Source organism: Homo sapiens, chromosome 14, assembly GCF_000001405.40.
Source record: "Homo sapiens chromosome 14, GRCh38.p14 Primary Assembly".
In the NCBI taxonomy this organism is placed as follows: Eukaryota; Metazoa; Chordata; class Mammalia; order Primates; family Hominidae; genus Homo; species Homo sapiens.
This window is the reverse complement of record NC_000014.9, coordinates 44069994-44082368: the sequence shown is the minus strand read 5'-3', so window position 1 is coordinate 44082368 and position 12375 is coordinate 44069994. Positions and strand designations below refer to the sequence as shown.

The following is a 12375-nucleotide window of genomic DNA, read 5'->3' as shown; positions in this document are numbered from 1 at the left end:
ATGAGTGACAAACCGAGACTCTGTCTTATGAAACAAACACACAAACAAACAAACAAAACCACAAGACAGTCTTGATATCATCAAATAGTAGGTGATACTCCCAGCAACTCAGGGAATAAGTGCCTTATCTAACGGGGTGAGGAATATAGGAAGCACACTCTAGCATTTACTACTAATGGATGATAACCCAATATATTTTGGTGATGTTCAGGCCTTTACTATACTTTTGTAATAATTATAAAAATCTAACGAGCATTTATCAACTAACCAGTATTTAAAAGTGATGCCCATTTAATGTTTTGAACAATATTTTGGTAAAATAGAAGAAACCATTTAAATTTCCCCAAACAGGTGAATATAAAAGTAAATTACTCCATCAATCAAATATAAGGCAAGATTCATATGTTAAATACAATAGGAATATCACTTTTTCAAAAACTAATACAATTTTTAAAAACATGTAAAACTTGTTGGGTGTGGTGGGGCATGCCTGTGGTCCCAGCTACTCTGGATGCTGAGGTGGGAGGATCGTTTAGACCAGGTTGTCAAAGTTGCAGTAAGCTGACATCGCTCTACTGCACTCCAGTCCCGGCAACAGAGTAAGACCCGTATCAAATAACTAAGTACATATGTAAGACATGTCAAAGTGTTAACAATAATAATTTTTTGATTTTAGTTTTTTTCTTTTTTTAATGAAGGCTTTTCTTAAAAATCTTTTTGGTTCTGTGATTTGGATTCAAACTGAGTGAAGGATTTTTACACTCTGTATATTTCAATTTTTTTATGTGCATGTATTATTTTGCTCATAAAATACAATGAGCAGGTATTATTTTGATAAACAGGCAACTTTTAAAATTGATCAATAATGACTTTGGGGAAAGCTCAACAGACAAATGTAGGAATCATGACATTATTCGATGTTGGACTTCAGTGCAGTTAAGGATAGTCATGTTTTAGACTCTTCTGGATGATTTTGCAAGCCTTGTATTTCTTGGCATTGGTTTATATTGTCCCTGGGCATTCTGTTGTTATTTTTAGCATGACTGTTTTGACCCACAGGTTGCATACTATTTCTGCTGAATCAAGACTACACTGTCCTGAACAGGATTATACTGGTATATGGATGACTTTTGTTGATAGCAGCTATTTTTCGACTGTCCAAATGTTTCACTGCATTTTTGAGGAATTTATCCAGATATCTTTGAGTGGTTTTGTTATTTTGCTTTTTAACCTCATGTATCAATATAATCAGATAATCATAATATTATATAAGAATCTACTCAAATCCTACTCTTGAGGTTTTTCTTGCCCAAGTACAGTAAACTGTAGAACATTTCTTTAAAAAACGGAGACTTATAAAACTCTGGGATATGAGAATTATTTTTAGATGAACAGTACTGGGGAGGAGAGAAAAAGAAGAGAGTATAAGTGGAAGGAGATGAAGAGAGAGAAGCAAAATAGAATGGTGAGGAAAAATAGAAACATGATTTCCAGTTAGTACTTCTGTCCTCATTCCATTAGCAACAGAAATAGCCTCTTGTCACAGCATCTTGTCTGACTGGAAGGCTAACACCATTTTCTAGAGGCATAGAGGAGAGCTGTGCTGTTTTGATTCTAGCACAAGGACATCTGTGCTCTAAACCTATGTCTTAATATGGTGAACCATCTGGTTCAGATATCTGATATCTAAAAATTGTATTTTGCATTAGCTGCATTGTTGTGTGGTAAGTTCTGTAGTCTGCAGTCCAATATAGTGGTAGGTAGATGTGTGTATATGAAAAAGTTCGTTCTGTAACTGTTCTATAATTGTGCAAATGTTGATATGTTTATCAGTCCTAACTTGTTCAGTATTTCTGAAAGCACACCAGTGTCTGTTACCTACTTTAAGCATTTCCTTATAAGTTATTTATCTGCCACAATCATGAAGTTAATGCCATATTTCATTAAATGATTTAATATGACTAAACAGTATCTACTGCTATATAGTATTTATTATTTTTACCATCACAACTAGGTAACACAGGCAACAAGTTTCTCTGTAATAAGAAGGATAAATGGAATTTATCCATTGTATACTTAAAAAAAAGTAGGGAAAGAGACTCACAAGAAAAAAGTTAATCTAACCTTAAAATCTTAAATCCTCATAATTTCACAAAAATCCATATATTAAAAAATTACTAGATTTCTCTTGAACACCAGTAGTATTTCTAGTGTTGTGCAAAATAGCTTGCATATTATTCTAAATGTAAATGTGTCATGTCATTGAGAGACTTTGAAGAAAGGATGTTGTTATTGTCCTTTGTATACAAAGTTAAATATTAGTTAGAGTTTTAACATGAACAATTCAATCTCAAAGGCAATAAATTGTGAAAGTTACTACTGTAGAACAATATCTGATGTCTGTAATTATCTTGAGAGGTGTGCATGGTAGCATTTCAACAGCCTTGAGCATATGTTTTTTGATTGTGCTTTTATATACACAAGGCATCTTGATAGATTGGTCTGCTGGGCTCATACCAGGTAGGTGGAAGGTCTGTGTTAGGATGTGGTGGTGGTATTACTAGTCATTATTCAAGAAAGTGGCAGAGAAAAATAGATGAAAAAATTAAGAAGTTTAATATTTGTTTTATAGATGGATGAGAATATATCAACAACAAAGTCACTAATCATTTTGGCCACTTTTGCCACACTGGCTTCACAGAACTGTGAGTGCTTTGACTGGAAATTTTGCTCCAGTATGAATAACTTAAATCTAACCATAAGATTAATCTGTGCAATTTGTACAGTAATGGAGCTGTCAGTTTGGCGGCTCTTTTGATTCAAGTTCAATTTAGTTGTTTTCTCTCCCTTTTTTCCCTCTCTCCTACACTCTCTATGTATCTCTACTAAATATATGTAGATATACTTACTACATATACTTAAGTATATGTATACATACTACATATACTTAAGTATATGTATCTCTGCTAAGCACTGCTCATCTGAGATACATATAAGAAGTGGAGATGAACAAACAACGGTGTTGAAGAAAATGCAAATTTATACTTTGACACCATGAAAATATGTTATCCCACAGAATAGTATGAACTGGCGAAAGAAACAGTATTAAGCAGTAAATGGAGGTATATCATAGTGAAACTAGAAAGAGACAAAGGAAAAGCTCATTGCCAAAAAAGAGCAAATAAACATTATTTTGAAATAACAGCATCAAAATACCATCACAATTTTTAAAAGTGTTAAGGCCAGGGTTAAATAAACCTTAAAGAACTTAGTGATGAAATTAGTTAGTGCTTATTAAATGTGAGCTATTAATATTATCATGTCATATAAAATCAAGCAGAAATTTTCATTGATCTTAATTTTTTTTATATCTAGGCATGCCTATGTGAGAACATTTTTTCCTGTTAGAATTTTAAGTAATTTTGCAGCATCACCTCATTTTATCAGTCTAATGTCAACAATTGAATTAACATATCCCTAAAAATGAATATTTTTAATGTGTCTAGTATTATCTTTTATGTAGGGGCTTTATCATATAAAATACAGGGCTGCAGCTCTTAAATATCTTAAGATGATAAACATAATATGCTTGTTTTGAAAAGCATTAAGTAATACATAGTCTGACATTTTAAAATGAAAACAAAACCCCTCACTTATATGGATTACTTTAGTAAAATGCAAATCAACTTCCATTTGTTAGCGATAGAGAACATGTGTAGTCAACTTTTCTATTCATGTTGGGTTATAGGCTACTATAGAAAGAACGTGAAATTCAAGTACCGAAACCACTAAGGGGCTAGCAGATTTGCAAATATTTTGGGGCTTTTAAAATTTAAAGTTTTATATACATAGTCATTTTTTTTTGAACTTTAAAGATCAGATTTATTTGGAGAAAACAAAAAACACACAACCCAAAGGATGAGCTTTTACATCTCAAGACATCTCCCAGGTAATAAGTCTACAGATGACAAATCATTTTCATAGAAGATATTTTTGTACAAATTTTACATGTATTCAGGAACGGGACATTAATCAATCCCCATTTCTGCTTTAACAGGGGGCAAGTTAGGGGAGAGGGAAAAACAGTTTTGGATACAACTATTTGGAAGGAAAGTAGACACGAAGAGGGCAAACCCTAGCTTTTCATTATCTACAATCAATGGTTTTGTTTTTCTTTAAAATAAACCTTTTAATCTGCAGTATCTCTTTAAAAGCCCACTTCTTAGCTACTAGCCAATCCACACCAATTATTTAAATTCACTTGGTACACACCTTTGTCCACTCAGTAAATTATATTCATTATGCTCACTGCTGCAGCATGCATAAACCAAAACCCCTGCATAGCTGACCAGGGCCTAATCTAGGACTGATGGGAGAAGGGCTTGCAAACCAAGCTCACGGGGTCATTTCTTTGCTAATACTGTCTACCAAGCTGATCCCTACAACAATGCACATAAAAGCAGGAAAGTTTAGTTACTGTGTTGCAAGAGCTAAGACACAGAGCAGCAATCTCTGACAAGTGGTGGGGGAAAAGTAGCTCCAGGTCAACCATCTGAGGAAGGACCAGCAAGGAAAGATGAAAATAAAGCAGATGGGATCAAGGTCCCAAAAGACCAAACTGGGAACTCTAGCTGTGGTCCAGGAGACGGAGGGAATAAAGACCACTGGAAGGAGTCAGATAGGAAAATGGCAAAAAGGATCAAGACTCCAGATCTGCACCTAAGCCAAAGAAACCTGAGGAAAATGCAGCTTCCAAGTTCAGTTCTGCAAGCAAGTATGCTGCTCTCTCCATTGATGGTGAAGATAAAAACGAGGGAGAAGATTACGTTGAATAGACCTCTACATCCTGTGCTTTCTCCTAGTTTCTCTTCATCCTGGAACATTTAAGAGCAAATCAAATCTCTATCCAGACAAGACAAAATAAAACTCACCATCTCCTGGAGACCTTTCTTACCCCTTCTTTAAAAAAAAAAAAGAAATTATTTTGTATGCTTCCACAGGCTTTACAGTATTGAAGTAACTGGAGATCGCCAATACAGCCAGAGAGAAAGAGGCTACAGCTTTTTAGTGGAAAAGTTGTGGTGCCTTATGTCACCATGAAGTTGCCAGTGTGGTTAGTGCCTAAGAGGCCTCCATTTAACAGAAATGGTAATGACATTGATATAAAGTCTGGAATCTGGTTGGGCAGTAGGGGAGGGAGGTACAAGGAAAAGTGTGAGATTTCTACCTTTCAGTTTTTATCCTATTGTGGCATATATGAATTCTCAAACATTATCTGAATAAATTTTCCACTCCTGGAAAGATAGATTTAGCCTCAAGTCGTTTTAGTCTCCAGGAGGCTTCCAGCCCCTCCTCTTATTTAATTCTGAGTTTTGGGGTCCAGGCTAAGGGGAATTCCTTCATTTTTTTTAACACCCGGAGGGGTAGTTGGGAGTGAGTCTGTAGGACATAAAGAATAGGACTACATTGGACCAAAATAAATGGGAAAATCGTGGTTTGAAAATAAGCTTTTGGGAGGTGATGGTGATGAGTCATTTTGTACCAGGTAATAGGGGAAAATTGTGTAACATCCAGCAAACACATGAATGGTTATTACCTGGAGCCAGAAGCACTTGGGGGTCATGGTAATTCCCAATGTTTTGTGTGTCCTGGTTTTACCCTTTCTAAACATTGTCCTTTGAAGGTTCAAATATATCCACATTCTGTTGAAACCTTGAAACTTTAAAAATTTAGACTTGAAACTTTAAAAATTTAGACTCTTGTTGTCATCTTAAATTCTTCATGCTACTCTTAACCTCCCCAGAAGGAGTCTCTAAGTCACATAGATGATCTCTTGGTCATTTTCCCTCTCAGCCATGGAGAACTGTGAAAGGAAGAATCTCTGCTTTTCTCAAGCAAATCGGTTTCTTGATGCCTTTTCGTTCTCACTCCTTGCCTGCTTCTGATGCTTTGACCACTTTTATAGGTGAGTGCTCCAGAATAATGGATGGTCTTGGGTGGTGAATAAAGGTGGATAAATAGGGACAGGGATGGTTAAATTGGGAGCCGTTCTTATAGCCTTGATGGGTTACTTTTCCCCCAAGTTTCCTTCTCCACTAAAATGCCACAACAATGCTTGTTGGATTGATGAGGTGGCTAGACCAATGTGTTGTTTTTTCTTCTTCTTTATTCTTTAAGCTTCCCTTGAGAGAATAAATAGTAATGGAGAGAACTATTTACGTAGTCATTTTTAAATAAGTGAACTGGCAACCTACAGAATGGGAGAAATTTTTTGCAATCTATCCATTTGACAAAAGGGCTAATATCCAGAATCTACAAATAACTTAAACAAATTTACAAGAAAAAAACAACCCCATCAAAAAGTGGGAGAAGGATATGAACAGACACTTCTCAAAAGAAGACATTTATGTGGCCAAGAAACATATGAAAAATGCTCATCATCACTGGTAATTAGAGAAATGCAAATCAAAACCACAGTGAGATATCATCTCAGGCCAGTTAGAATGGCAACCATTAAAAAGTCAGGAAACAACAGATGCTGGAAAGGATGTGGAGAAATAGGAACGCTTTTACACTGTTGGTGGGAGCGTAAATTAGTTCAACCATTGTGGAAGACAGTGTGGCGATTCCTCAAAGATCTAGAACCAGAAATACCATTTGACCCAGCAATCCCATTACTAGGTATATACCCAAAGGATTATAAATCATTCTACTGTAAAGACACATGCACACATAAGTTTCTTGCAGCACTGTTCACAATAGCAAAGACTTGGAACCAACCCAAATGCCCATCAATGATAGACTGGATAAAGAAAATGTGGCACATATACACCATGGAATACTATGCAGCCATAAAAAGGATGCGTTCATGTCCTCTGCAGGGACATGGATGAAGCTGGAAACCATCATTCTCAGCAAACTAATACAAACACAGAAAACCAAACACCACATATTCTCACTCATAAGTGGGAGCTGAACAATGAGAACACATAGACACAGGGAGGGGAACATCACACACCAGGGCTTGTTTGGGGTTAGGGGGCTAGGGGATGGATAGTAGGTGACGGGTTGATTGGTGCAGCAAACCACTACGGCATGTGTATAACTGTATGAGGAAACTACACATTCTGCACATGTACCCCAGAACTTAATGTATAATAAAAATAAAACATAAAATATAAAAATAAATAAATAAGTTTGACTTTTCTTTCTCTTCTTCGCATGTGAGTTGGGAAAAAGTGCTGTATGACCTTAGAAGAGTTGGTCATAATTGACCACAAAATCATTAATCTCTAACTCTAAAACACATTTTAAACAAATTCTTCGTTGGGTCTGTCGATTATCCACAAACATCACGAATGCAACATTTTTATTTAGCTTGATAATTCAACTTTCTATATATATTTTTTCTAAATGAACTATGCTCAGTGATTCATTAGTATTCTCTTCCAACAAAAGTTCAATAGAATCCACCAAAATTAATAAAAACAAACTTCTAATTTTTTATGTCCCTAATTTTAATCTTACCTTATTTTAGAACATCAGTTAAAAGAGTTGTTTTTCATTTTTTTAGATTAAATAAATGCTTGGCTGATTCAATTATAAAATGCAGAATAGACATTTGTTGAACATATATGCATTCCTTTATTGAACATTTACTGAGTACTCACTAGTGTTTTTTATTGTCTAGCTTCTGGGGTATCTGGGTGAAAGTCATCATGATCCTCCAGAAATTCCAAACTTTTGGAATCAGAATATGCGGAAACAACCTTTATGAGAAATACTATGAAAGATGTTCATCAGAGAAGATGTCAGGTCACTGGCAGAGTGACAGATTTTATAAACATAGAACCCTCCAGTTTTTGAGATTTAGTTGGTGAAATGAGAAATAAACACAAGAAAGTTAAATAACAATGTAAGTCTCCATATAGTAAATGTAAGCTGAATACTTTGTCCAGTAGACTGCAGAAGTTCAGAAGATGCAATCCTTTTCATTTTTGAAAGTTAGTGGTAGACATGATAAGAAAAAAATGGAACTTGACAAGGTAAAGGGTGAGGAGGTAATTCAAACTAAGACAGCACACTCTTTCTCTAAGGCAGGGTGAACTGGTGTCTAACTATGATCTACCCATTCAGATTTTTCTTTGCTGCAGTAAATGTGTGTGGCAGGTTTTCCACCAAAGCTGTGTGCCAGTTGTAATGGTGGAGGAAATTTAGCAATACGGTGGGAATCAGAGAGTTTCCTATCTGGTGCACTAGCTGACATTACTATGTGTGTGGCATTTTCATAAGAAACCAAATGTAATTTCTTGATCATTGAGATTATGATAATATTGAATGTACCTATGTCACTTACAGGATTGTTATATCTCTGATATTAAATAATAGACTTGAAAATGTCTTATACTTTTAAAAGTGTAGTCATTTTTAAAATAAAATAACTTTGGGCCATATTAGTATCATTACATAATCACAAAAACATATTCTTCCCCTGCCCCACTGGACCACATCTTATGTAATCTCTTTCTCTCTTTCTCTGTAATTGTGAACATGTGAGTATCATCATTATACTAAAAAAAAGAAAAAAGGAGATTTTCTTTTATACTGTGATTTTCCAAGATGAAGGATTTCTACATTAATGAGAGCTGGGTGCAAAAAGTTCACTTAAAAATACAGCTTGTTGTAAATTCTAAGATACCCTTTAAAGTCCCTAATATTTTATGCATTTTATTGATATAGAATCAATGTTAAGATATATAGCACAAGGCTAATTATTAGCAAAATTAAAACACAACCTGAATTCTGGAATCTCATTTCAATTTTTTTCCTAAGGGTATAGAGCAATGTTTGTGTTTTAAATCTTTATAATGTTTGAAAAAGAAAAAGTACTACCACTGAGAACCACTCGTACTTGCACATAACTATTTACTTTAGCTAATCAGAAACACTAGTTCCACTGTGGGGAAAATTAACATTTATAAGATTTATCAAAGATTCTGTTGGTGTATCATATCTCTAGAAAGTGGAAGCCTACTTTCTGACTCTTTTATGCATAAATTAAATAGACAGCTACAAATTTAACTTCTATTAATTTGCATTGTGCTTGTTTATTTTCCATTGCATTACATATTTTTCCAGATACTTTCATTTCTCTTACATAATTAAAAAGAGACACCTATTTGTTGTCCACCATAAGCACCCAACTCTTTAGACTAATTTGCGATATCAAGTGCTTTACTAATTTAATTTTTCTATAACTAGCACAAAATTTTGAACAATTGTATGTGTTTAAAATTCATTAATTTGGGACTTATTGACAGTACTTAGAGTAATATTAACCATGAATAAATAATTATTAAGTATTATTTTCCTGATGTTTTTACATCCAAGGTGTATAATTATGCCCAATGTGGAAATTCAATTGCAAAATTTGACATCTATGACAAAATTAGCTGCAAAGGATGTTATCTACCTTGATGATTTCCAGTTGTTGCTAAGATTATAGATTTATCACTTTAGAGATGTCAGCCTGATTCCACATGTTAAGCTGTATACTGAAGATTATTAAAGTAAGATATGTATAATCTACTTTTGAGGCTGATTTTCTAACCATGCATGACTGAGCTTATTGGAAGAAGAGAAGTTTAGTAAAATACATTCCAATTGAATTGAGGTGATAGATTCAAACATAAAATATTTTAAAATGTAATTTTATTAGTTCCATTTAAACTAAGCAAATAAAAATTTTTATTTACTTATTCTTTTGCACATGACCAAAAGATCAATTTTGAGGCATTTAAAGAAGTGATGGCTAATTAACATATGAATTGGATGCCTGGAGACTAGAGCAAGAGAAAGTTGGGGACTAATCCATTAAAATAAGGCCTAAACAAAGTCTTTATGTAGTTCTAGGATTTAAACTGGCTATAATGACATCAGAGCACTTTTTTCTCTGATATATTTAAAATTTATTGGGTAGCTTCAGTAGAAGCAATTTATTTGGAAAATGGTGTTTACAGAACTGGTTATAGTCTAATTACAATTATCTAAATGAGTATAAGATGTGTGGCATTCTTACATAAATGGTTTCATGAAGGAAAAAATCAAAGCTTCTTCAAGAATAATGGATAAAGATGATTGCAACATATTCAATAAAAATCTAAAGTACTTTAAATATATTTTATATTAATTAGTGTTCATGTATATTGGTTCATGCAAATCATGAGTAAATATAGAACTAAGAATTAAGACATCATTAGGGTTCTTTTTTAAGCTTCTTAATAATTTTTAAGGCAACATACCTTTGCTTCTACCTCTTATGTTAACTAAATTTGTAGAGTTTGCTTATTTGTATTGCATAGTTTCTTGAATTAAATGTTTTTGTAAACTTTATTACTCTCTCAGAGTTTTGTTGTAGCCTATGAGTAAAAGTTGTAAAATCAAGGGTCAAGATATGTTCTCTAGCTTAATTGTTTGCAGCATATCTTTACATGTGATTTTTATTATGAATAATAATTCTTAAAGTTAATAAAAAAGACCTCCTACTCCATTATGAATTTATTCACACTTTAAGGAGCTATGAATACAATGAAAATCTGCTTTTAGACATTAGGATTTTTTATAAACAAAGGTGAGAATTTTTAAATAGACCAAATATTTCCAGTAGAAACAGTCCATGTGTGCTTCATTAATTACTTATTACATATAATATATATTAGATACACACGTGTGTGTATGTGTGTGTGTATGATAATATATGACCTCCTTTTGGAATCTAATTTTATAATCACCGTGGTTTACTCTAGTCCCTGTGTGTTTTCCTGTATAAACTAAAAAAAGAAACACACAATATGAAGCAAAGTCTATCATGTTTCTCTGGCAAATGATTCCAGGTAGTTTGTAGAAGCTTTTATAGAAACTTGTGAATAACATAGCAAACATAAAACAAAAATATTGATCTGAAAGGATAGAACCTTGAGCTCTATTCTCAATGAGTAATAAAACAAGCCAGTTAGAACTTACTGACTGTGAAAGTCAGTCATCAGCTGCAAGGGAGCAACTTTAAAGAGCATAGATGTTACCAAAGAAAAGACCTCCCAGTATATAGACAAGGAACAGGGGAGGGGTAGGGAGGCAGTTCCATATGTACTCCTCGGAGAATATATTCAGTGATTCCTTCATGAAATACAATGGTATTAGGTCTTTCCCTGTGACCTTAGGCATTGTGTTCTAATAACATAGCCTCAGAAATGTAAAATTAATTTAAGTGACTCCAATAGAATGTCAACCATGTTGTTTCCTCTGTACTGATATGTAGATTTGCCTAGACATTAAAAAAATTCTGAGTCAAGATTATTAGGTAAGTTATGATACATTTTACTTTGAAATGATGCCTTCTATGATATAATAAGCATTTTTCATATTTAGAAATATATAGCACATAACCATTGGTTATATTTTATTTAACATTTAGTAAATGCTAATCTGTGATGGTACTAAGGATTAAACTCCTAGAAGCATTAAGAAGGCCAAGTGTACTCCCTTATAAAATATCAAACTAGAATGTAATGGTTGTATTCATCATGTTATGAAAATTAGTTACATTCTGTACTAACCATCTAAAATATAATATTGTAAAAAATAATGATCCTTGCAGTAAATGTATTGACTTTGGAGTTTGGAAGCAAATAAATTATTTGGAGGATACCCATTAACCTCAGTTTTCAAAATGCACGGTTTTAGATGCTTAATAATATGAAAAATTTAAAATCTTGTGCAGCTAGAAATTTAACTCAAGGGAGGATAGCACATAGGTCACCCAAATAAGGTACCCCTGAAAGGATCCACCAAAGTTGTGATAATGTAGAATCCTATTACTCTATTTCAAAGTTTTATTTCCCTGAAAACTCAAGAAGTATTCATATTGAATAAAGTATCCAATTATAGTAAATTTTGGTACCAAAATAAAATAAGGCAAAACAAAAGCATGTGTTCTGCTTCAAACTAGTGAATCTTTTTAAGGACAGGAAGCAGTATGCAATCCTGAAGTTTGGTTCCATGACAGCTGGTAATCGACATAAGCTAGCAGTCCCACTTGGGCTTGCATTAAACTTATTCCTTTGATACTGAGCTGAATTTTAAGACTCCAAGCCAGCTGCTCTTTCAGAAACATGCATTCATACAACATTTTTGCCTTGAGCTTAGCTACTTGTGCATGTTACGTGATGCGAGAACAGATTGAAAATCCTTTTTTGGAATGATGCCCTGGTGGCACACCAATAAATGGTAAACTCCTGTTGGTGCTTGGCACATGAAAATTTATTTTATAGCCAGAATATGTTTTTAACATAAGTTACAGGTTTAGAATAAAATGAT

At 33.7% G+C, this 12375-nt stretch overlaps 1 long non-coding RNA gene and 1 pseudogene across 1 annotated transcript in view; both read left to right on the top strand.

Annotated features, from left to right (window-relative positions):
- LINC02307 (long intergenic non-protein coding RNA 2307) overlaps positions 1–12375 on the top strand; it is a 395530-nt gene that overhangs the window by 303693 nt on the left and 79462 nt on the right. The window lies entirely within an intron of this gene.
- On the top strand, positions 4487–5033 carry EIF4BP1 (eukaryotic translation initiation factor 4B pseudogene 1; annotated as a pseudogene).